Source organism: Homo sapiens, chromosome 9 (genome assembly GCF_000001405.40).
Source record: "Homo sapiens chromosome 9, GRCh38.p14 Primary Assembly".
Classification (NCBI taxonomy): domain Eukaryota; kingdom Metazoa; phylum Chordata; class Mammalia; order Primates; family Hominidae; genus Homo; species Homo sapiens.
Window position 1 is genome coordinate 124,124,731 of NC_000009.12, and position 25,544 is coordinate 124,150,274.

At 48.9% G+C, this 25,544-nt stretch overlaps 7 annotated features.

Annotated features, from left to right (window-relative positions):
* Positions 6,850-7,062: a silencer, noted in NCBI's record as "fragment chr9:126893859-126894071 (GRCh37/hg19 assembly coordinates)". NCBI's record gives its function as "represses an EF-1alpha promoter that drives an FKBP-Casp9 reporter gene in an ReSE screen in K562 erythroleukemia cells {active_cell/tissue: K562}" and the evidence as "EXISTENCE:reporter gene assay evidence [ECO:0000049][PMID:32094911]".
* Positions 12,882-13,111: an enhancer, noted in NCBI's record as "active region_28958". NCBI's record gives its function as "activates an Ori minimal core promoter by ATAC-STARR-seq in GM12878 lymphoblastoid cells {active_cell/tissue: GM12878}" and the evidence as "EXISTENCE:reporter gene assay evidence [ECO:0000049][PMID:35858748]".
* Positions 13,202-13,251: an enhancer, noted in NCBI's record as "active region_28959". NCBI's record gives its function as "activates an Ori minimal core promoter by ATAC-STARR-seq in GM12878 lymphoblastoid cells {active_cell/tissue: GM12878}" and the evidence as "EXISTENCE:reporter gene assay evidence [ECO:0000049][PMID:35858748]".
* Positions 18,060-18,354: a silencer, noted in NCBI's record as "tiled region #10969; K562 Repressive non-DNase unmatched - State 8:EnhW". NCBI's record gives its function as "represses a minimal TATA promoter and a strong SV40 promoter by Sharpr-MPRA in K562 cells {active_cell/tissue: K562}" and the evidence as "EXISTENCE:reporter gene assay evidence [ECO:0000049][PMID:27701403]".
* Positions 18,740-19,313: an enhancer, noted in NCBI's record as "H3K27ac-H3K4me1 hESC enhancer chr9:126905749-126906322 (GRCh37/hg19 assembly coordinates)". NCBI's record gives its function as "activates a minimal SCP1, AML or CMV promoter by ChIP-STARR-seq in naive H9 embryonic stem cells {active_cell/tissue: H9 hESC(naive)}" and the evidence as "EXISTENCE:reporter gene assay evidence [ECO:0000049][PMID:30033119]".
* Positions 19,314-19,889: an enhancer, noted in NCBI's record as "H3K27ac-H3K4me1 hESC enhancer chr9:126906323-126906898 (GRCh37/hg19 assembly coordinates)". NCBI's record gives its function as "activates a minimal SCP1, AML or CMV promoter by ChIP-STARR-seq in primed H9 embryonic stem cells {active_cell/tissue: H9 hESC(primed)}" and the evidence as "EXISTENCE:reporter gene assay evidence [ECO:0000049][PMID:30033119]".
* Positions 19,890-20,463: an enhancer, noted in NCBI's record as "NANOG-H3K27ac-H3K4me1 hESC enhancer chr9:126906899-126907472 (GRCh37/hg19 assembly coordinates)". NCBI's record gives its function as "activates a minimal SCP1, AML or CMV promoter by ChIP-STARR-seq in naive and primed H9 embryonic stem cells {active_cell/tissue: H9 hESC(naive and primed)}" and the evidence as "EXISTENCE:reporter gene assay evidence [ECO:0000049][PMID:30033119]".

A 25,544-nucleotide genomic window follows, 5' to 3' on the forward strand; every position in this document is an offset into this window, starting at 1 on the left:
CAGGAGTGTCATGCATTTGCTTTTGCTCCAGTCATTCTCCCAAGTGCAGCTCCCGTGCTGGGTGGTTGGAGGCCTTATACCCTGAACCCGATGATGCAGAGAGGGACGCCTAGAGACACAGGTGGCAGGTGAGCAGCAGGCGAGGCAGGAGGAGCCATCCAAGGGAGGGCCCCATGAGCTGCCCCACAGAAGGGGAGGTGAGAAGAGGGCCGGAAGCTGTTCCAGGCGCCTGATGGGCTCTGAGATCTGCCAGTTTCCTGACAATGGTTTAGTCATGATCACCTGCACACAGTCCCAGGGCCACTTGCAATGTCACCTGCACAGTTAGCCCCACCTCCCAGTGTCACCAATACAGTCACAGAGTCACATAGAATGTTCCCTGTACCATCAGCCCCATCACCCCATGTCAATCCAACACATACAACGTCACCTGCCCATTAGCGAGTCTCACTATGCACAGCCAACACTCACTCATGCTGTCACCTGCACAGCCACGCAGTCACTCACGACCTCACCTGCTCACGCCCAGTCCCATCGCAGTGTCACAGGCACAGTCATGCAATTTCCACAGCAGCGTCCACACAGTCCCTCATGGTGTTGCCTGCACACAGCCACGCAGTGTCCCAGGCACAGTCACACACAATCCCACAGAGTCACCTGCCTGCAACCAGCCACGCACAGTCATTTGCCGTCCCATGCTTGCCGCCCCCAGCCTTGCCAGGGGGTCTGACATCACAAACAGTGTCACAGGCAGACCCCTCCCCTGCAGAGCCCTGCCCACAGACCCCACTGCCCACCATGTGCCCGCCGGTCAGCCTGGGCTGGGGCTGCCCTGGTCAGAGGCCTGGGCCTGCCTTTGCCCTCAAGCTGGCTCTTCAGGAGCAGCTTGGGTTCCACTTGAGCCCCAAGGATGATACTGGAGCCGGGGGCCTGCTGCTGCTGGAAGCAGAGCCAACGCAAAGAAAAGCCTTTGTTCTTGGTGGGTCGGTCATTAAGAGGAGCCCGAATCCCTCTGCCAGCCCCTCCCCTCCAACAAAGGAACAAAACAGCAGCTATTTTTAGACTCGTGTCAAACTCCCCCTCAGACCCTGGGTGGGGAGTCCCGGTAGAGGGGCGTCTGCGAGGGCTCTAATGAGCCTGCGGCCGGCAGGTCCTGCTCTCCAGGCAGCTGGCCCTTGGCTCTGCCGGGGGAGAAGCGAGCCCAGGATACTCCAGAGACAAAGAGGAGGGCCAGACAATGAGAACAATGCCCGGAGCCCCAGGATGCCCACTTCCAGAGAGCAACCCCCACTCTTTGGAAGGAGGTCTCCCTGGACACAGGGCAAGGGCATCAGGACACCCCCTACCTTGTGTAATCCTCCAGGCACCTCACTGGCTCCGTGTCCCAGAGGAGGCAAGTGACTTGCTTGGAGGGGCAGGTGATTTCTGCTACATGAACCTTGTGTGATGGGATACTCTGGATGGCCCAGATCCAAGTCTGATGGTCCAGATCCCAGCTCTGCCCCTTACACTTGTGTGGCCTCAGGCCTCAGTTCCCCCACCTGTAAAATGGAGATGAGGCCAGTCACGGTGGCTCACACCTGTAATCCCAGCACTTTGGGAGGCCGAGGTGGGCGGATCAACTGAGGTCAGGAGTTTGAGATCAGCCTGGGTAACATGGTGAAACCCCGTCTCTACTAAAAATACGAAAATTATCTGGGCATGGTGGCGCGCACCTGTAATCCCAGCTACTCAGGAGGCTAAGGCAGGAGAATTGCTTGAACCTGGGAGAGAGAGGTTGCAGTGAGCCAAGATCGCACCACTGCTCTCCAGCCTGGGCAATAGAGTGAGACTCAGTCTCAAAAAATAAAATAATATAAATAAATAAAATGGAGATGATAATTCTCGCCTCCACAGTTGCTTTGAAGAGTCTGGGGGATAAGACCTGGGCACATAGCAGGTCCTCAGCCAGTCCGAGAGCCCTGGATTGTGTGGGCTCCTTGCCAAGCAAGGGCTTTGTCTTGTTCAAAGCTGGATCCAAGGGCCCAACGCACTGCCGGGCACATAGTAGGTTCTCAATAAATATTTGCTCAAGAGGTTAATGAAGGGTCCTTACCAGCCTTCAGCCCTACAGGCTTGACCCAACTTAAGCCACTTTCTTCCCAAGCGCTGCTCCCCAGCCTCCTCTTGGAAAGAAACTTGCTGGCTAGGGTGGAGCCCTCGTCTGCAGGTGAGAAGCTGCCTCCCCAGGCTGGAAGTCCCATGCTGCAATGACAGCGTTCTGACACCAGGGGGCGCAGTCTCTTAAGGTTTCCACAGCAGCCTGGGTCCTTCCCGCGGGGGCCTGGAGGGCTGGAGAGGATGCGGCCCACCCGGTGGGGCACCTGCCCACCCTCGTTAGCGGAGATCTACGGGGTCGTTCTAAAACTCTATGGAGCAGCAGCATTACAACCAAGTCATCATCCCTCAAAGCTTAGAAAGAAGCACTTCTTCAGGTCTCGCCTCCTCCACTGACTTTAAGCCACTTTCTAGTGCCCTGTCCTCAAAGACTATCTATGGTGACCCCCTTGCTCCCCAATTCTTGCCCGACCAGACTTCAAGATTCCTTGTTCTGTCATCCTTCTGTTCCCCCAGCTGGGGAAGCCCAGACCATCAGAGCCGGAAGGGTCTTCCTAGTTGATCTCATGGTCTTCCAGCCCATTCTACAGATGGGAACACTGAGGCCCACAGAACAGAACTGCATCCTCCAGGCTGAACAGCAAGGAGGAAGCAGCCAAGACCCATGCCCAGGCTCTCTTTTTCAGCTGGCGCCATTTTGCTCATGGATTGTTTCACTGTTGTTCTAGGGAAAGGGAGAATGGGGAAAAAGGAGGGAAGAGAAGGGGAAAAAGGGAAGGGAAAAGGGAAAAAGGAGGAAGAAAGATCCTGAGCCTTCTTATTCTGTTCCAGACCCTAGGCGTTCCTCTTCACCCTCGGCATTTCCCTGAGTCCTCTACAAACCCTTGAAAAACAACCCATGATTATCTCCATTGATGGATGAGGAAAGTGAGGCCGGGTGAGGTTGCCCCAAGTTTCACAGCTAACAAATAACAGTACCAGTATTTGCCCCAGGGCCATCTGATTCCCAAATTGTATATGGTTCAACCTAATACAGCAGAAAGAAATTCCCACATTCTTTCTGCTGTATTAGGTTGAACTGCATAAAATTGCTGTTCCCATGGCCAGGCATGGTGGCTCAAGCCTGTAATCCCAGCACTTTGGGAGACCAAGGCAGGTGGATCACTTGAGGTCAGGAGTTCAAGACCAGCCTGGCCAACATGGTGAAACCCTGGCTCTACTAAAAATTAGCCAGGCGTGGTGGCACGTGCCTGTAATCCCAGCTACTTGGGAGGCTGAGGCAGGAGAATCGCTTGAACCTGGGGAGGGGGAGGCTGCAGTGAGCTGAGACCACCCCACTGCACTCCAGCCTGGGTGACAGAGTGAGACTCCATCTCAAAAAAAAGTAAAAAATAAAATAAAATAAAATTGCTGTTCCTGTAGGTCGAAATTTTTCAAATATCTGGTATGCTTAAACTCAACACTATGCCAAGGGAAACCCTTATCCTGAAGGTAAGAGCCATTTACTAGAATACTCTGGTGGCAGTGGGGGAGGGGAAAACCTATTTCTTTAGGTGCAAAACACCCTGGGGAGACTGCTATTCCCTCCACCCCACCCCCAAAGCCCAGATCAAGATCCTGGAGTGGCTGCCTGACTCTAGAGGCCCAAGTTCAAGAACTTCTGACCACAGAGGGGTCACACAGCATGGGCAGGAGGAGCTTTAGGGTGAAAAGTCCTTGGGTGGGAATGTGACTTCTCCAGTGATGCCAGGGAGGACCCTTGGAAGAGAGATGAATCTACATAGTATAAACTTAGAATGTCACAGAATGCCACAGAATATCATGACTAGAATGCCACAGAGTGCTATAGAATGTCCAGGAATGTCGTAAAATGCTCTGGAATGTCAAAGAATGTCACGGGGTATTCTGAATTCTTGTAAATGTCAACGGATGTCATAGAATGCTGCAGATCATTGTAAATGTCATGGAATGTCAAGGACCACCTTCCGAAGACAACGTCATCAGACAGTGCTGCAGATAGCTGTAAATGTCATGGAATGACTTAGAACATCATCATGCTAGACCGTTGTCGGGTGTTACAGAATGTCAGCACCACAGAATGTCACGGAAACTTTGAGACAGCCGGAAAGGACTTTGGTGATCATCCAGGTTCACCTGCTCATTTTGCAGATGGGAAAACTGAGGTCCGGAGAGAGAAAGGGCCTTGTCTAGTGAAGCTCAAGCAGATGGTCGTTGGCAAATGCAGATTCAAAATCTGGGTCTCTGGACTCTCCACCCAGAGCAGCCTCCCTCGGCTCAAGGCTCTTGGGGACTAATTAACCCTGTGATGGAAACAATGGTGCCTAGTGGGTATTAAGCAAAACTCCCAGTTCTGACTGGCACTAGCCTTAAGTCAGAATGGGGAATTAACTCCACATGTGGGGCTTTCTGGTCTGGGAAGCAAAATAATGAGTTATTTGCACTGAAATCAACATTCCTGCTCTGCAGCAGAAAGAGGGTGGGTGTGTTGGGGGAGCCCTCGGAGGCCGCTCCCCAGGCCCTGTGCCAGAAAAGGTGCCCCCTGGCTTTCCCAGGAGACACTCCTGGCACAGACAAGGACTCCAAGGTGCCCAATCTTGTCAACAACTCTTGGCAGAGGCCCAGGGGCCCAGGAGGCTGTGAGGTGAGGGAGCAAGAAAGGGACCCCGGAGGGGGAGCATCTGATGTCACATTGGGTCTTTCCAGCCAGATGTCAGACAGCCAGGAAGAGCATTGAGTGGATGGAAGTTAGTGGGAAGCGTTGGAGGAACCCTTTGGCTCTCTTGGCAAGTTTATAGGTGAGAGATGATGGAGGAAGGAACAACAGGGCAAGATGGGCCAGGCGCAGTGGCTCAAGCCTGTAATCCCAGCACTTTAGGAGGCCGAAGCAGGCAGATCACTTGAGGTCAGGAGTTTGAGACCAGCCTGGCCAACATGGTGAAACCCCATCTCTATTACAAATAGAAAAAATTAGCCGGGCATGGTGGCACGCACCTGTAATCCCAGCTACTGGGGAGGCCGATGGAGGAGAATCGCTTGAACCCGGGAGGCAGAGGTTGCAGAGCGTTGAGATCATGCCACTGCACTCCAGCCTGGGAGACAGAGTGAGACCCTGTCTCAAAAAAAAAAAAAAAAAAAAAAAAGAGGGCAAGATGAACGTGGGTCTAGGAGGTGATCTTCCCTGGCCTCTGCACCTGACAGGCAACTCAACCATCATAAGACATGCTCTGCTTCTCTCCTTTGTTTCCCAAGCCCCACGTCTTCCCTCTCCCTCCCTCTCTCTGGTGCCAAGAGCTCCAGGACTAGTCCCTCTCCCTCCAGCCTCCTGGGTAGACCCCTTGGTCCCATAGCCCACCCTGCAAGTCCTCTGATCCTTACAGATGAACAAAGCCCTGGAGCTGCCTGCCCTAAAGGGAGATGTCAAACAAGGAGAATTTCGGGATCTGCCCCCATCGCTGATGCAGAATCCCTCCCCCTGGGTGCTGGTCTGTGGACCTTTCTGGGTTCAGAGCCCAGAGCCTGCCCAGGGTGTTCCCGTCCGTGAGGGGAGACTGGGCAGTGGCACTGAGCCAGCTTGCCAGGAAGGTCCCTCGGGCAGTCCCCGGGCTGGTCCTGGCTGACTAGAGCCACCATCACAGCTGAGGCGGGGAAACCTTGCCCCTTGGGAACTGGGCTGGCAGTGGCTCAGGGCATTACGCACCTACCCTCTTAGCAAAGCCATCCCTTCTCTCCGAGAGTTTCCTCCCTGAAGCTGTAAAAATAAGGTTCCTGCAGAGCCTGGTGGCAGAGCTGAGTTCAGGAAAGGGCACAAAGAAAAAATATACGGGAGGGAGAGGGTGAAGGGGCTCCAGCAGGGGCAGGCTGTGGTGCAGGAGGGTAGGGGAGGCCAGGGGTCATGGAGGACCACATTGGGGAGCTGCAGGGCGGTGCTCCTTTCCCTTGTCTGCACTAGTGAAGCTTTTCTCATGGGGCTCACGCCTGTGTGCTGCCGGACGCTGTCCATGTGGACACGTGTGCCTGGGTGCATGTGCTCGTGTGTACACGCACCTCTGGGGTCATTCTGCATGCTGGAGTCTATGTAGGTGACACAGGATTGCTGCAAGAGCTGAGGATAAATATGATAATGATATGCAAATTGTATGTGAGGCTTAGGAATAAGAGTAATAGAAGGCAGTGCTGGGTGCTCCTGGACCAGTCCCCTATGTGCAGGTTGGGCGCCATATTTATTCTTGTGCCAATGTCATGTACATTCCCTACCCCGCCCCCCACTCCATCCGCCCTTTGCCACCCGGGCTCCCACCTCCTGAGTTAGGATGAACTGGAAGAAAGGCATAGAGAGGCAGGAGCCCAGAGAGGGAGGGAAGGGGAGGGCAAGAGGAGAGAGGCTAAGATCAATGCGATGAAGAACTGAGATAAAGGAAGAAGAAGGAAGAGAAAAACAATAAGGGAAACGGGGAACGTGGGGATTCCGTGTGTGAATCCCCACCCCCAAAGCCCAGATCAAGATTCTGGAGTGGCCGCCTGGCTCTAGAGGCCCAAGTCCAAGTGTGGGGTGAGAGATGGGGAAGCAGAGGGGAGCGGGGGAAGGTACTGTGGTGAGTTCTAACCTGGACCCTTGTTAACGATCTTGAAATTCAAGTAAAGGCTGAGTTTAGTTTAGTTTAGTTTAGTTTAGTTTAGTTTAGTTTAGTTTAGTTTAGTTTAGTTTAGTTCAGTTCAGTTCAGTTTTGTTTTGTTTTGTTTTGTTTTGTTTGAGACAGAGTTTCAGTCTGTCGCCCAGGCTGGAGTGCAGTGGTGTGATCTCGGCTCACTGCAACCTCCGCCCCTGGGTTCAAGCAATTCCCCTATCTCAGCCTCCCGAGTAGCTGGGATTCCAGGCACGCTCTGTCATGCCCAGATAATTTTTTTTGTTTTTTGTTTTTTGTTTTTAGTGGAGACAGGGTTTCACCATGTTGGCCAGGCTGGTCTCAAATCCCTGACCTCAAGTGATCCACCCGCCTTGGCCTACCAAAGTGCTGAGATTACGGGCATAAGCCACCACACCTGCCCTGAGACTCTTTTAAAATTACTGTGTAATGGCTGGGTTTTGTGTTTTTGTGATTCTATGCTGAGACCAGGTCATTTGGGGCTACCAGCTATAGTCTCATCAGCTGTGTCCAGGGGAGATAGTTTGCATCTGGGTGGGAAAGCAGTTTTGAGAGTAAGGGGCCTTGTGAGCTAGATGGATGCTGCTCAGAGGTGTCTTCCAATGAAGGACATTCCCAACCTCGGTATCACAGCTTCCTCCCTGAGCATGTGCTTTTCTGTCCCCAGGCATTCCAGGCAAACAGAAATGCTAGAGAGCATCTAGGGACTCTGGGATTAGAGCTACTTGGGACTTCCAGCCTCATTTCCATATGGTCTCATCCTCAAAGAGCTTATATTCTCTTTTTTTTTTTTTTTTTTTTTTTTGAGACAGAGTCTTGTTCTGTTGCCCAGGCTGGAGTGCAGTGGTGTGATCTCAGCTCATTGCAACCTCCACCTCCCGGGTTCAAGCAATTCTCCTACCTCAGCCTCCCAAGTAGCTGGGATTACAAGCATGCACCACCGTGCCTGGCCTAATTTTTGTATTTTTAGTAGAGATGGGTTTCACCATGTTGGCCAGGCTGGTCTCGAACTCCTGGCCTCAAGTGATCCACCTGCCTCGGCCCTGCAAAGTGCTGGGATTACAGGTGTGAGCCACCACGCCTGGCCAAGAAGCTTATATTCTAATAGGGGACATAGAAACCCCAACTCCAGCTGACATGGCAAGAAGAATAGTAAAGACATTACAAGGCAGGAGTGGAGGGGAGCGCGTTGGCTGATCCGCCTGCGGGGAGAGAAGAGAAGCCACAAAGGTGGTGACCTTGAACTTGAGGAGGTATGAGCTGGAGATAGCCTACTGGGCATGGTAGAGGATTTCTTCCCGGGGCATGGGAACAGCATGTGCAGAGACAAGGGTGTTGAGGGGCCTGGCTCATCAGAGAAAGGCAAGTGAGGACCAGGAGCAGGAGGGGAGGGGGTAAGGCATGAAAGGAGAGGGTGGGGAATGAGCTGGTCATGTCAGGAAGGCTCGGAATCCCGGGGTCAAGAGAGAGCATTTTATCTTGAAAGCAATGAGGCGCCTTGGAGAGATGTGGAAGGTTTTTATCAGGGAATAATTAAGGGATTTTAGGAAGATGACTCAGCCTGCTGGGTGGTACATGGGAGTGGAGATGGAGGCGGAAGGGTCAGTCAGCGATGAGATAGTAGCTCACATTCACTGAGTACCATGCTGTGCCAAGCAGGATGGAAGCCCTTTATGTGCATAGTTTCCTCTTCCCTTCTCCACAGGCCGAGACAAGATCAGCACCCACACCATGCAGATGAAGAAACTGAGACTCAAGAGATGGAGTGAGGCCAAGCATGGTGGTGCGCGCCTGTAATCCCAGCACTTTGGGAGGCCAAGGTAGGTGGATCACTTGAGGTTAGGAGTTCGAGCCCAGCCTGGCCAACATGGTAAAACCCCATCTCCACTAAAAATACAAAAATTAGCCAGGCATGGAGGCACACAACTGTAATCCCAGCTACTGGAAAGGCTGAGGCACGAGAATCGCTGGGACCAGAGTGACAGAGGTTGCAGTGAGCCGAGATCACACCACTGCACTCCAGCCTAGGGGACAGAGTGAGACTCAGTCTCAAAAAAAAAGAAGAGAGCGAGAGATGGGGTGAATTTCCTAAGGCCATGCAGCTCGCAGACGGCTGCTGTGAGAGATCTGTCTGATTCCAGATCTCTCATTTTCTGTCTCCAAGCCTGGGGTGGAGCCTTTGGGCTCTGGATCCAGGCTGCCTGTGTTTGAGTCCTGTCTTCATCACTAATGTCACTGTGACATCCGGCAATTGACAGGTGAGCCCTGGTCCTTAAGGTCTTCCTCTGGAAAATGGGGTCCTAATAGCATCCACCTCATGTGGTTGTGAGAATGAAAGGCGTTGATATGGGCAAAGTGCTCAGCACTGTGCCTGGAGGCGGTGAGCATGCATTCTGTCAGGATCCCTAGGGGGCATGCATTGTCCATTGTGGAGCAGCCACAGCAGTCAGCATCGGCCGGAGGGCTGAAAGCTAGACAGGAAAAGTAGCTTGGAGGCTGGGTGCAGTGGTTCATGCCTGTAATCTCAGCACTTTGGGAGGCTGAGGCTGGAGGATTGCCTGAGGCCAGGAGTTCGAGACCAGCCTGGGCAACACAGTGGGACCCCATCTCTACAAAAAAAAAAAAAAAAAAAAAATCAAAGGCCGGGTGAGGTGGCTCACGCTTATAATCCTAGCACTTTGGGAGGCCGAGGTGGGCAGATCACGAGTCCAGGAGATTGAGCCCATCCTGGCCAACATGGTGAAACCCCGTGTCTACTAAAAATACAAAAAATTAGCCGGGCGTGGTGGCAGGTGCCTGTAGTCCCAGCTACTCAGGAAGCTGAGGCAGGAGAATGGTGTGAACCCGGGAGGCGGAGCTTGCAGTGAGCCGAGATCACGCCACTGCATTCTAGCCTGGGTGACAACGTGAGACTCCGTCAAAAAAAAAAAAAAAATTTAGCCAGATATGGTGGCTCATGCTGTGGTCCCAGCTACTCAGGAGGCTAAGACAGGAGGATCACTTGAGCCCAGGAGGCAGAGGATTCAATGAGCCGAGATCACTGCACTGCACTCCAGCCTGGGTGACAGAGCGAGACCCTGTCTCAAAAACAAACAAACAACAACAACAACAAGCAGCTTGGGATGGAGACAAATGGGAGACCCTGAGAGATGGGAGTGGCATGGATGGGATGCTGAGAAAGAGAGGGGAGGGACAAGTCAAGGATGTGTCCCAACTCTGGCCTGGGGTCCTGGGCTGGCAATGCTGTTCACTCAGCCCGGGGGCCTCAGAGGATGAGCAGGTAGGTGCAGGGCAGGCAGGTGGGCTGCCCTGGGGGTGATAAGGCTGTGGCTCCTGAGGCAACGCCCCCCCTCCCCCCCCCACCCCATCTCTATCTCTTCTCAGCCAGGGAAGAAACCCACCCACTTCCTCCCCTACTCTGACCAGCAAAGGCCTCCTCTGACCAGAGTCCCCAAGGAGTCCTGTGTGCCTGGCAGAGTCAAAGGGTGGACGCAGTCTCACCACACCCAGCCAGGTTCTCGATCCAGCCTCAGGGATATTCCCAGGCGCCTGCTGGATTCTGGCATCAACCCGTGCTGAATTCGCCTTGGACCCTGCCAGGGAGGGGAACGCTTAGAGTACCATGGTATTTTCCATGCGTGATTTATTTCAATGTTCTCTCCTGAATCAATATTAATACCACTACCAAAAAAGCCAGACCTTTTAAAAATGAGGGGTCTACTCTTAGTTCATAATTCTGGGATTATTAGGGGGTGTGAAAGCCTTTTCAGTGTGTTAGGGAAGAATGGCTATAAGAGTGAAGAAGGCCGTGCACCTGCTGCTTTCTTCCGAGTGCTCCAAGTGTCTTTTTCTTTCTTTTCTTTTTTCCTTCCTTCCTTCCTTCCTTCTTTCCTTCCTTCCTTCCTTCCTTTCTTTCTTTCTTTTCTTTTTTCTTTGACACTGAGTCTCACTCTGTCGCCCAGGCTGGAGCACAGTGGGGCGATCTTGGCTCACTGCAACCTCTTGACGGAGCTTGCAATCCTCCTGCCTCAGCCTCCAGGACAGATGGACAGATAGAGTAGCTCGGATTGCAGGCATGTGCCACAATGCCTGGCTAATTTTGTATTTTTCGTAGAGATGGGTTTCACCATGTTGGCCAGGCTGGTCTCAAATTCCTAGCCTCAGGTGATCCACCCCCTTGGCCTCCCAAAGTGCTGGGATTACAGGTGTGAGCTGCCGTGCCCAGCCCCAAATGCCATTTTTTAAAGATTAAAATAAATAAAAGTAACATTTATTTAAGTGATTCATGAGAAACAAAAATATTCACTGTGCAAGATTCACATGGCACAGAATGGTAAAAGAAAACAAAAGTCAGAAAAAGCCTACTTCCAAACATTACTAGTAACACCTTGGTGTATTTTCCTCCATAATTATTTTTTACATCTATCTATCTATCTATCTATCTATCTATCTATCTATCTATCTATCTATCTATCATCTTTCTCTATTTCTATCTGTCTGTCTGTATCTATCTATCTATCTCTATATCTATTTATCATCTATCCATCCATCCTTTTGATCATCCATTCATCCATCCATCTACCTACCTACCTACCTGGCTATCTGTCCATCCATCTACCCATCCATCCATCTATCCGTCCATTCATCCATTCATCCATTCATCTATCCATTTATCTACCTACCTTCCTGACTATCCATCCATCCATCCATCCATCCATCCATCTACCTACCTACCTGTCTGTCTGTTCATCCATCCATCCATCCATCCATCCATCCATCCACCCACAAAGTGGCATCATAGTATACTTAATGATTTTCAATCTGCCTTTTCCCATAATGACATGGGCAAGCATTTTTCATGTTATTTAACATGCTTCTATAACATCTTTCCCTATTTTTATTTCATCTCCTAAAATAAATGTATAGCTTTATGAACTGTAATAAACAAACACCCTTGTAACCACTACCTGGTTCAAGATTGAGAACTTCCACAGCCTCCTGAAGACTTCCCTGTTTCCTGCCTAGTCACCAAGGCTCCCCACTCACTCCGCAAAAAATAACCCACTATCCTGACATCTGTGGCAATTGCTTCCTGGCATTTCTTTGTAGCTTTATCAATCAAGTGGACATACTTAGACACTATAGTTTAGTTCTGGCCATTTTTAAAAATTGGGGTGTCTTTTATATTGTTTTAGTCTACAGTTTCTCCCTCCATCTTGTTCTTTTCCTTAAAAGCAGCCTGTAGCCAGGCATGGTGGCTCACTCCTGTAATCCCAACACTTTGGGAGGCCGAGGCGGGTGGATCACCTGAGGTCAGGAGTTCAAGACCAGCCTGGTCAAAATGGTAAAACCCCATCTCTACTAAAAATACAAAAATTAGCCAGGCGTGATGGCGGGAGCCTGTAATTCCAGCTACTCAAGAGACTGAGGCAGGAGAATTGCTTGAACCCGGGAGGCAGAAGTTGCAGTGAGCTGAGATCACGCCATTGCACTCCAACCTGGGCAACAGAGTGAGAAACAGTCTCAAAAAAAAAAAAAAGGCAGCCTGTAGGGGATCACTGGTCAATGCCACTTGACGGTAGAATTTCCCACAGCCTGGATTTCACCCAGTGCAGTTCCATATGCCCTCTGTAATTCCTGCAAATGACTCTTTTTAATGGTCACACCGTGATTTGTAACCAGTGCCTTACAATTGCCCAGCTTACAGTTCTGAATCGCTAGAATAGTTACCACTAAGATGAACATCCTTGTGTATATTTTTTGTATGTTTGTGGACGCCTTGTTCTCATGGGGCCCATCGCCCTCCCCTTCCCTGATCCCCCTGGGTTGGGAACACCGCTGTCTCCCCTTCAGGTCAGCCTGCCCAGCACTTTAAAGCTAGGTCAGCATCCTCAGCTGCCTCGCAGCCAGGGCCGCTGCCTGCCAAGTCACTCCATTTCCTCACACTCTGTGTCCCACCCCCATCTGAGTCTGACACACTCTTGCCCCCTGGAGACTTCTTCCCGTGTGGGCCAGCTTCTAGTCCTTCCTTCCCCACACACCGTATTTCTGAGGTCCCAGACTGCTTTGGGCATGAATCTACCCAAAATACAACATGTATGTTTTTGTTAGTATGTGGTTGAGGTATTTACATATTTAAAAAAACACAATGCAACCAATGCTATTTCTGGCACACACCAGATCTGCTTAACCCACCTCTAATTTCGACTGCAGCTGGGGCGGACATTTAGGGTTTTTCCAAGGCAGCTGGAAAGTCCGGAGAGTTGACTGTCTTGGGGTCAACTTTCAGCCAACAAAGGTGTTGGGAGGTTGTTGGGGAACCAGTGGACAAATGTCTCTCTCTGTCAGCCGTCCTTTAGAGACCGTGGAGACCAAGGGAAGATTTCCCCTTCCCGCCTTGAAGGTTCACTGAAAAATCAATTCAGAAAGTCAGATTAATTGGAGAAAAGGCACACAAATATTATTCACAGGTACATGGAGGCTTCAGAATGAAGACCCAAGTCTACAGGGGAAATTGTCCATTTTTAAGTTTAAATTCAACCAAGTATGGACAGTCATGTGGAAATACGAGTGGACAAAAAGGGAATGATCTAATGCTAACAGATGGAGTGGGGAAAGCCAGCAGGGCCTGTCTGTCTAGATTCTTCTTGCCCTTTCTGAACAGCGCTCCTTCCTTCTGAGTATGGGACAGGACCTCCTCTGGAATGGGGATCTTATGACCTACAAGCCAAACAAAGTAAGTCAGATAATTTCTTTATGGCCAGTTTTTACATAGAAAGCAGAGGGAAAGTTGGAGTAATATTTTTAAGGTTTTATGGTTGGCTTCGGGGAAAAGGGGTTCTGGTTTCTAGGAACCACCTTAGGGAAGAAGGATTCTAGTTTCTATGGCTAGCCTTGGGGGACAATGGGACTTAGAGACAGAAGGGCAGGAGAAAGCCAGCGAAAAAAATTTTGCCTCGGTGGCTTAGGCCTGTAATCCCAGCACTTTGGGAGGCCAAGGCAGGCGGATCACCTCAGGTCAGGAGCTCAAGACCAGCCTGGCCAACATGGTGAAACCCCGTCTCTACTAAAAATACAAAAAATAACCAGGCGTAGTGGTGACATCTGTAATCCCAGCAACTCAGGAGGCTGAGGCACGAGAATTGCTTGAACCCAGGAGGTGGAGGTTGTAGTGAGTCGCCAAGATGGCGCCACTGCACACCAGCCTGGGAGATAAAGTAAGACTCTGTCTCAAAAAAAAAAAAAAAGAGAAAAAGAAAAAGAAAAAAAGAAAAACTTTTGCTTCTGAGGCCTTCATTTTGGGCTCTTGTTTTCTGATCCTAGCAAGACACAGTTCTCAGTGCATTCTATAAAGTTCCTTGGGCTGGGTGCGGTGGCCCATGCCTGTAATCCCAGCTCGTAGGGAGGCAGAAGTAGGAGGATGGCTTGAGCCCAGGAGTTCGAGACCTGCCTGGGCAATATAGTGAGACCCCATTCTCCACAAAAAGGAAAAAAAAAAAAGACAAAAAAATGAAATAAAGTTCCTTGGGGAGTCCCCAGCTAAGGTCAACCCTCATTTGCCCAGTCCAATAACACACCCTTTCCTGGCACTGCTCCTCCCCTGGCTCATTCCTCCTTCTCCCTTGCTCCAGTTTCCTGGTGTTACTAAACTCCCAGTCCCCAAGTCCTTGTCTCAGGCTCTGTTTTGGAGAAAGCTCAAACTAAGACATGAAGGGTGGTATCTAGTGAAGTCACAGCCTACTGACTAAGCTAACCAGAATCCTCCAGAAGTGGGCAGCTGACAAATTGCAACAGAAAGGGCCGAAACTCACCAGACATCTAGGGTCAGGAGAATCTGTTCTTGGAAAATAGGCTGCCAGTGAGGTGCCCATCTCCTGCCCCCTGAACACAGGATTTGAACCTGAGAAAGGGGACTTGTCATTTGTCAGGGACCATAGAAGTATACTTACTTTAACTGCTCCCAGATGATGGCACATAAAGTTGCCTGGGGGAGACCTAGAACTAGAGGAAAGAGACCGAGGAACATCACCTGTGAGTCCACCTGTAGTAAGTGGGCAGAGGAGAGTGGCCTGACAACATGAGGCTCAGGGAAGTTGGTCTTTTTAAGTGCTTTTTTTTTTTTTTAGTTTTTGTGTTTCATTTTTGAACTAGTTTGTTTGTTTGTTTGTTTTTGTTGTTTGTGTTTTTCTGTTTTTGAGATGGAGTCTCACTCTTGTCGCCCAGGCTGGAGTGCAGTGATACAATCTTGGCTCACTGCAACCTCTGCCCTCGGGTTAGGCTGGGCACGGTGGCTCACGCCTGTAATCCTAGCACTTAGGGAGGCCAAGGCTGGAGGATCACGAGGTCAGGAGTTTGAGACCAACCTGACCAACATGGTGAAGCCGTGTCTCTACTAAAAATACCAAAATTAGCCCGGCGTTGTGATGCGTGCCTGCAATCCCAGCTACTCAGGAGGCTGAGGCAGTAGAATCGCTTGAACCCAGGAGGCGGAGGTTGCAGTGAGCTGAGATCGCACCATTGCACTCCAGCCTGGGCGATAGAGGGAGACACTATCTCAAAAAACAAAACAAAACAAAACCTCCACCTCCTGGGTTCAAGCAATTCTCCTGCCTCAGTCTCCTGAATAGCTCGGATTAGAGGTGCCTGCCACCAAACCCAACTGCTTTTTGTATTTTTAGTAGAGACCAGGTTTCACCATGTTTGCCAGGCTGGTCTCGAACTCCTGACCTCAAGTGATCTGTCTGCCTTGGCCTCCCAAAGTGCCGGGATTACAGGCGTGAGCCACCGCACTCAGCCATGTGTTTTGTTTTGTTTTGTTTTGTTTTTGAGACGGAGTCTCGCTCTGTCGCCCAGGCTGGAGTGCAGTGGCGGGATCTCGGCTCACTGCAAGCTCCACCTCCCGGGTCCACGCCATTCTCCGGCCTCAGCCTCCCAAGTAGCTGGGACTTACAGGTGTGTGCCACCATGCCCAGCTAATTTACGTGTTTTTTGTAGGGATGTGTTTTCACTCTGTTGCCCAGACTGGTCTCAAACTCCTGGCCTCAAGTGATCCACCCACCTCAGCCTCCCAAAGTGCTGGGATTACAGGCATGAGCCTTTTTTTTTTCTATTTATTTTATTTTATTTTTTTTGAGATGGAGTTTTTCTCTTGCTGCCCAGGATAGAGTGTAATGGCGCAATCTCGGCTCACTGCAGCCTCTGCCTCCCAGGTTCAAGCAATTCTCCTGCCTCAGCTTCCCAAGTAGCTGAGATTACAGGCGTCCACCACCACACCCGGCTAATTTTTTGTATTTTTAGTAGAGACGAGGTTTCGTCATGTTGGCCAAGCTGGTCTTGAACTCCTGGCCTCAGGTCATCCGCCCGCCTCGGCCTCCCAAAGTGCTGGGATTACAGGCGTGAACCACCGCGCCTGGCCTTTTTTTTTTCTTTTTTTAATGTTGCTTTGACAGAAAACACTTGTTATCTTTAAACCTAGAAGAGATCATTGGATCAATAAAACATTTTAGAAAGCTAATGGAAAAGTGAACCAAAAACCTGAAAAAAAAAAAATCACAGTAAAATAAAGACAAATGACCAAGAGAAAAAAATGAAAATGTCAAAGGCATTCAAACCAGAGTGACTCCATCTTGAATAGGGGCTGGGTAAAATAAGGTTGAGACCTCCTGGACTGCATTCCCAGGAGGTTAGTTAGCTGGCACAAGGTCATAAAGCGCTTGCTGATAAAACAGGTTGTGGTAAAGAAGCCGGCCAAAACCCACTAAAACAAAGATGGCAACGAAAATGACCTCTGGTTGTCCTCACCGCTCATTATACACTAATTATAATGCATTAGCAAACTAAGAGAGATTCCCACCAATGCCATGACAGTTTACAGATGCCAAGGCGACATCAGGAAGTTACCCTATATGGTCTAAAAGGGGGAGGAACACTCAGTTCCGTGAATTGCCTGCCCCTTTCCTGGAAAACTCATGAATAATCCACCCCTTATTTAGCATATAATCAAGAAATAACTATAAGTATACACAGTTGAGCAGCCCATGCTGCTGCTCTGCCAATGGAATAGCCATCCTTTTATTCCTTTACTTTCTTTTCTTTCTTTTTTTTTTTTTTTTTGAGATGGAATCTCACTCTTGTCGCCCAGGCAGGAGTGCAATGGTGCGTTCTCGGCTCACTACAACGTCTGCCTCCCGGGTTCAAGCGATTCTCGTTACTCAGCCTCCCAAGTAGCCGGGATTACAGGCTCCCGTGACCACACCCAGCTGATATTTGTATTTTTAGTAGAGATGAGGTTTCCCCATGTTGGCCAGGCTGGTCTCGAACTCCATACCTCAGGTGATCTACCCGCCTTGGCCTCCCAAAGTGCTGGAATTACAGGTGTGAGCCACGCGGTGTCCGGCCCTTTTTTTTTTTTGAGACGGAGTTTTGCTCTTGTCGCCCAGGCTGGAGTGCAATGGCACCATTTCGGCTCACTGCAACCTCTACCTCCTGGATTCAAGCGATTTTCCAGCCTCAGCCTCCAGAGTAGCTGGGATTACAGGCACTTGCCACCATGCCCAGCTAATTTTTGCACTTTTAGTAGAGACGGGGTTTCGCCATGTTGGCAAGGCTGGTCTCGAACTTCTGACCCCAGGTGATCCGCCCATCTCGGCCTCCCAAAGTGCTGGGATTATGGGTGTGAGCCACCACATCCGGCCTTTCCTTTACTTTCTTAATAAACTTGCTTTCACTTTATGGACCCCAAATTCTTTCTTGTGCAAGTTTCAAAAACCTTCTCTTGGGGTCTAGATTAGAACCCCTTTCCAGTAACAAAAGGATGTTTAATTATTTCTAGTAGGCAAAAAAGGCAAAGTAGGCCGGGTACGGTGGCTCATGCCTGTAATCCCACCACTTTGGGAGGCTGAGGAAGGTGGATCTTCTGAGGTCAGGAGTTTGAGACCAACTTGGCCAACATGGTGAAACCCTGACTCTATTAAAAATACAGGAATTAGCTGGGCGTGGTGGCAGCTGCCTGTAATCCTAGCTACTCGGGAGGCTGAGGCCGGAGAATTGCTTGAACCCGGGAGGTGGAGGTTGCAGTGAGCCAAGATGGTGCCACTGCACTCCAGCCTGGGTGACAGAGTGAGACTCCGTCTCAAAAAAAAAAAAAAAAGGCAAATTGATATGTCAAAATACTGTCTTTTGCCTATCAAACTGGCAATGATTTTAAAATGTTAGTGCCTAGCACAATGTGACAGATTGCTATTACTATTAACATCATTATTGTTTTAAGAGATGGGATCTAGCTATATTGCCCAGGTTAGACTCTGGGCTCAAGTAGTCCTCCCACCTCAGTCTCCTGAGTAGCTGGGACTACAGGCATGTGCCACAGCACCCAGTTCACACTGCTGTTTATTCCCTCAAAATACATTCTATCTTCCGTAGTAACAGAATTTTGGTGGCATAAGAATGCTCAGATACAGACTGTATTTCCTAAACTACTCTGTAGCAGATATGGTCATATGACTAAGCTCTCATCAATGGAATGTGCTGGGAGTGATTGTCAGGCCTCTGAGCCCAAGCTAAGCCATCATATCCCCTGTGACCTGCACGTAGACATCCAGATGGCCTGAAGCAACTGAAGATCCACAAAACAAGTGAAAACAGCCTTAACTGATGACATTCTGCCATTGTGATTTCTTTCTGCCCCAACCTAACTGATCAATGTACTTTGTAATCTCCCCCACCCTTTAGAAGGTTCTTTGTGATTCTCCCCACCCTTGAGAATGTACTTTGTGAGATCCACCCCCTGCCCACAAAACATTGCTCCTAACTCCACCGCCTATCCCAAAACCTGTAAGAACTAATGATAATCCCACCACACTTTGCTGACTCTCTTTTCGGACTCAGCCCGCCTGCACCCAGGTGAAATAAATAGCCTTGTTGCTCACACAAAGCCTGTTTGGTGGTCTCTTCACACGGACACGTGAGACATTGATGTGTTTCATTTTAGTTTCATTTGTGCTAGTTGGGGTCCCAGCAGGAAAGGGATGGTACCCTCAAACTGAGTAATTTGAGGAGAGTTAAAAAAAAAGGAAAATTTACAAAGGTGTGTGTCAGGCCTCTGAGCCCAAGCTAAGCCATCATATCCCCTGTGAACTGCATGTAGACATCCAGACGGCCTGAAGCAACTGAAGATCCACAAAACAAGTGAAAATAGCCTTAACTGATGACATTCCACCATTGTGATTTGTTTCTGCCCCACCCTAACTGATCAATGTACTTTGTAATCTCCCCCACCCTTAAGAAGGTTCTTTGTAATTCTCCCCACCCTTGAGAATGTACTTTGTGAGATCCAACCCCTGCCCGCAAAACATTGCTCCTAACTCCACCGCCTATCCCAAAACCTGTAAGAACTAATGATAATCCCACCACCTTTGCTGACTCCTTTTTTTGGACTCAGACCGCCTGTACCCAGGTGAAATAAACAGCCTTGTTGCTCACACAAAGCCCGTTCGGTGGTCTCTTCACACGGACGCATGAGACAGTGTGGACAGTATATAATAAATAATTTGTTGGCCCAGGAGGTCAAGGCTGCAGTGAGTCATGATTGCACCACTGTACTCCAGCCTGAGTGACAAAGCAAGAACCTTTCTCCCTCTCTCTCTCTTCTTTTTTTTTTTTTTTTTTTTGAGACTGAGTCTCACTCTGTCACCCAGGCTGGAGTGCAGTGGCTCGATCTCGGCTCACTGCAGCCTCTGCCTCCTGGGTTGAAGCGATTCTCCTGCCTCAGCCTCCTGAGTAGCTGGGATTACAGGCATGTGCCACCATGCCGGGCAAATTTTTGTATATATTTTTTTCTTTCTTTTTTTTTTTTTTTTTTTTTTGAGACGGAATCTGGCTCTGTCGCCCAGGCTGGAGTGCAGTGGCGCAATCTCGGCTCACTGCAAGCTCCGCCTCCCAGGATCACGCCATTCTCCTGCCTCAGCCTCCCGAGTAGCTGGGACCACAGGCGCCTGCCACCACGCCTGGCTAATTTTTTGTATTTTTAGTAGAGACGGCGTTTCACTGTGTTAGCCAGGATGGTCTTGATCTCCTGGCCTTGTGATCCGCCCACCTCGGCCTCCCAAAGTGCTGGGATCACAGGCGTGAGCCACTGCACCCGGCCAAATTTTTGTATTTTTAGTAGAGATGGGCTTCACCATGTTGGCCAGGCTGGTCTCGAACTCCTGGCTTCAAGTGATCTGCCTGCCTCAGCCTCCCAAAGTGCTGGGATTACAGGCATGAGTCACCTCACTCGATCCTTTCTCAAAACAAACAAAAAGAATTTGCTGGCCTCGGCTCCTGGTTCCTGGGAGGTAATCTTCAAATCCCTGGAACTTCCTGAGTAAAAAAAGTATCTTTGATATTCATGATGGCTCCCATGGGCCACACGTGATGGTTTAGGTGACTAATGCTTCCTAGGAAGTTTATGCTAATCAGAAGACAAGGTAGGGTCAGGGTGGAGACTGACAATGCCAGAAAGTCCAACCGTTTGATAAGACGGCTGGGGCTTTGAGTCACCTGATATCAGCCCTACCTCTGGGGACAGCTAGGGGAGTAAAGGTTGAGTTCAACCTCATGGCCATGATTTAATCAGCCTATGAAATAAAGCCCCAATAGAAAGTCTGGACACTGTCATTTAAGTGAGCTTCCCTGGTTGTCCATACTATGCATATTGATGTGCTGGGAGGGTAACGGCTCCCCGAGGATGATGGAAGCTTGATGTTTGGGACCCTTCCAGACCTTGCCCTATGCATCTTTTTCTTTGGCTGATTCTGGTTTGTATCTTCTTGCTAATCATATGTATCATGCTATCCTGAATTCTATGAGTTATTGAAACTGCCTTTGCAAAATTATGACTGAGACAGTGAAAGAGACCTAATTTAACCAACTCCATCTTGTTTCTTTCTTTTTCTTTTTCTTTTTTTTCTTTTTTCTTTTTTCTTTTTTTCTTTTTTTGAGACAGAATCTCTTTGGCACCAGGCTGGAGTGCAATGGCGCGATCTCGGCTCACTGCAACCTCCGCCTCCCAGGTTCAAGAGATTCTCCTGCCTCAGCATCCCGAGTAGCTGGGACTACAGGCGCGCACCACCATGCCTGGCTAATTTTTTGTATTTTTAGTACAGACGGGGTTTCACCATGTTGTCCAGGCTGATCTTGAACTCCTGACCTCAGGTGATCCACCTGCCTTGGCCTCCCAAAGTGCTGGGATTACAGGCGTGAGCCACTGCACCTGGCACCCCATCTTGCTTCTAACCTCCAAACTGTCCTTGTTCATTCCTGGGTGTAGGCTGAACTATCTTTGAGAGAAACCCAGTTTATAGTTTATAGTTTAAAACGAAGACATTAACAGCCCTTTCCCAAAGCAGACCTTCTTGCTTGGGGACTAGATTGCCTTTGTAGGACTAACATTAGCCACAACATTAGAAATTATGGTTTAGGAGTCACGCAGCTGGAGGTTACAAGATTCTCACCCTCCCTAGACTGCTCCTAAGGTCAGTGCTGAGATATTTTTCAGACCCTGCACTTGATGGATCAGCTGGCATCACCCAGAACAATAAACTGGCTCATCTGATCTTATGATCCCTACCCAGGAACTGACTCAGCACAATAAGGCAGCTTTGACTTTCTGTAATTTCCTCCCTGACCAATCAGCACTCCTGGCTCACTGGCTTCCCCCCACCCACCAAGTTGTCCTTAAAAACTCTGCTCCCCAAATGCCCGGGGAGACTGATTTGAGTAATAAGAAAACTCCAGTTTCCTACACAGCCGGCTCTGTGTGAATTATTCTTTCTCTATTACAATTCCCATGTCTTGAGAAATCAGCTCTGTCTAGGCAGGGGGAAGGTGAACCCCTTGCACAGTTACATTATTCTAGAATGTTTGAACCTGAGGGAGTAGTGAGGATCCCTGGATTTGTAGTCAGCTGGTTAGAAGTGGGGGTAGTCTAGGAAACCCCAAACTTGCAGCTGATGTCTGAGTCTTCTAGAGGACTGTGCTCTTTCCCTTGCGAAATTTGGCCAGACTATGAGCCGCTGGTGTCAGAAGTCACTGCAGGCAGAGGGTTTAGGAAAAGTAACAGGAGGTGATGCAGTACCCCCGGGTGAGCATCAACGGGGAGCTCTTACCTTCTCCAGGCCTTAGAGACTGGAGAAAGGAGCAAATAGAAGCTCAGAGAGGATGACATGGAGCAGACCATCCGACAGGAGCTGTGGCTTTTTCTTTTCTTTTCTTTTCTTTTTTTTTTTTTTTTTTTGAGACAGTTTCGCTTTTTCACCCAGGCTGGAGTGAAGTGGTGCGATCTTGGCTCACTGCAACCTCCACCCACCGGGTTCAAGAGATTCTCTTACCTCAGCCTCCTGAGTAGCTGAGACTACAGGTGCCTGCCACCACAACTGGCTAATTTTTGTGTTTTTAGTAAAGACAGGGTTTCGCCATGTTGTCCAGGCTGGTCTCGAACTCCTGACCTCAGGTGATTCACCCACCTCGGTCTCCCAAAGTGTTAGGATTACAGGCGTGAGCCACTGTGTCTGGCCAGGAGCTATGGCTTTCAGTAAAGGGACACAGGCAACTCCCAGCAAGGAGTGAGCCAGAGCACTTGGTGCCCTGATCTCTTGACTCCATCCTCTGATCTCTTACTGATGTCTTCCATTGGCTGAACTAAACTGGAAGCCAAAGGACAAGGAAATCTATAGAGGTCAGCTCCAAGGCACAGAGCAGAACAGAGCATGGATCTGGAGAGGCTAATATCCAGTTCACTTGCCCCAAACAAAATCATCTTCTCTCTACCGCCTTTCCCTCTCCTTTCTTGCAGAATAAAATCAAATGAGGACCTGGAGGGCCTTTGATCACAGAGTTGGAGACAGTCCCCCAGGGGATGGCAGATGAAGATGAAGGAACTACAGTCCCAGAATGTTTTCAGTGAGAAATGCCTCCTCAGCTTGGGGCTTCTTAGCTTTAGATTCTTATGTGAAAAAGAAAGAAATGTCCAGCTTGCTTGAGTAACTGTGTTTTCTGATCTTTTTGCTATGGCAGTTTAGCCTGTATCCTAACTGATGTCGTTGGTATGGACATGATAATCCAGGCTGTCTGCTACATTGGAGAGAGGGTAAATGGGTACACTATCTCTCAAACACAATCGAACATGATATATCAGGAGCTTTAAAAGTTTAGATCCTGTAGTTCATGATTCTATTTCTTGGAGTTTAAGAAAATAGAAATATTGGCACAAGTATATTCAATTACATACCATTGATGTGATTTTCATAAAAAAATCAGGAATAGAAGCAACCTTAAAATACATACAATAATAAAAGAACAATTAATAGATTATGGTCCAGCCTGGCCAACATGGCAAAACCTGTCTCTGCCAAAAAAAAAAAAAATCCAAAAAAAATTAGCCAGACGTGGTGGCACACATCTGTAATCCCAGCTACTCAAGAGACTAAGGCACGAGAATCACTTGAGCCTGGGAAGCAGAGGTTGCAGTGAGCAGAGATTGTGCCACTGCACTCCAGCCTAGGTGACAGGGTGAGACTCCGTCTCAAAAAAAAAAAAATAGGTTATGGTTCATCCATACATGATGCTATGTGATACAACCAGTACAAATGGTTCTTATTTTTTATTTTATTTTATTTTATTTTACTTTATTTATTTGGAGACAGAGTCTTGCTCTGTCACCCAGGCTGGAGTGAAGTGGTATGATCTCAGCTCACTGCAACCTCTGCCTCCTGGGTTCAAGCAATTCTCCTGCCTCAGCCTCCTGAGTAGCTGGGATTACAGGCACATGCCACCACACGTGACTAACTTGTATTTTTAGTAGAGATGGGGTTTCATCATATTGGCCAGGGTGGTATCGAACTCCTGACCTCAGGTGATCCGTCTGTCTCAGCCTCCCAAAGTGCTGGCATTACAGGCATGAGCCACCATGCCTGGCCATTTATTCATTTATTTTAGGGACAAGATTTCACTCTTGCTCAGGCTGGCATGCAATGGCACCATCATAGCTCACCATAACCATGAATCCCTGGTCTCAAGCCATCCTCCTGCCTCAGCCTTCCAACTAACTAGAACTACAAGCATGCATGACCAACCACTCCCCAATAATTTTTAAATATATATTTGTTTAAAGATGGGGTCTTTTTATGTTGTCCAGGCTGGTCTCAAACTCCTGGGCTCAAACGTTCCTCCCATATTGACCTCCCTATGTGCTGGGATTACAGGGGCAAATCACTGCACCTGGCCACAAATGATTTTTATATAGATCTTTAAATATGAGAAGATGCTAATAACATAATGTTAAATGAAAAACTGGGATGTAAAAGTATCATCTCAAGTATGTCAATATTCAAAGAAAAAAGACGAATGAAATATGCCAAAATAACAACAGTGATTGCCTCTGGATTGTGGGCAATATCTTTCCCCTTATTTCTACTTTTGTTTTCTTCCCAATGTTCCTACAATAACTATATATTATTTTTAAAAATAAGACAAAATGTCCCGTTAAAAAGTATCTTTGAAGAAATAAGTATCCATGAACCAAGAAAAATCTGTCCAGTAGAATTTCATCAATGTCCATGTGTCTTAGTCCCTTTGGGCTGCTATAAAAGAATACCATAGACTTGGTGGCTTATGAATGACAGAAATTTATTTCTCACAGTTCTGGGGTCTAGGAAGTCCAAGATCAAGGCACCAGCAGAGTTGGTGTCTAGTGAGGACATGCCTACTGTTCCATAGATGGCATCTTCTAGCTGTTTCCTCACATGGTGGAAGGGGCGAGGGGGCTCTCTAGAGTCTTCTTTTTATAGAAGCATTAATCCCATTCATGAGGCTCCATCCTTATGACTTAATCATCTACCAAGGACCCCACCTCTTTTTTTTTTTTTTCTTTGAGACGGAGTCTTGCTCTGTCGCCCAGGCTGGAGTGCAGCGGCACCATCTCTGCTCACTGCAAGCTCCACCCCCTGGGTTCACGCCATTCTCCCGCCTCAGCCTCCCAAGCAGCTGGGACTACGGGCGCCCGCCACCACGCGCAGCTAATTTTTTGCATTTTTAGTAGAGACGGGGTTTCACCGTGTTAGCCAGGATGGTCTCGATCTCCTGACCTCATGATCTGCCCACTTCGGCCTCCCAAAGTGCTGGGATTACAGGTGTGAGCCACTGTGCCCGGCCGGGCCCCACCTCTTAATGCCATCACATTGGGGATTACAATTTCAAGGTATGAATTTTGGGGGACACAAACATTAAGTCTTTGGCGCCATGTGATTCTGTCTCACTTGCCTTTCCTAGTGCCTGAATTTGGTTCTGATTTCCTATCTCTGAGACCTGCCCCATCTTCACTGTCTTCTAGTGGTACTATAGGTTGTTAACCTTGAATTTTCTTCTCAACTTCACTCATGATTTGAAGGATGTTCTAGTGCTCATCCATTGCTTCTCTGATATGGACTCCCACGGTTACCCGGGTGCTGACCTTGTTAGAGCCTACCTCCTAACAACTCCCAACATATCCCTTTCAGAATTATTTACTGCCAAATCCTTTTCATCCCTCAGAAGTCTGGGTTCTCTTTATTTACAAGGTGTATCTCTACCTACTATGGGAAGTTTGATCCATGTCAACAACGGTGGCAGGGTGGGAAGTGGCAGGCTCTGTAGGGAAATGCAGACCAATTTTCAGCACCAAGGAGAGTTCTGAGGAAGCTGTCTCTGGGATGATCTCCTCATGACAGAATCCTTTTACCCTGGGGAGCTCATAAATACCCTGTAGGT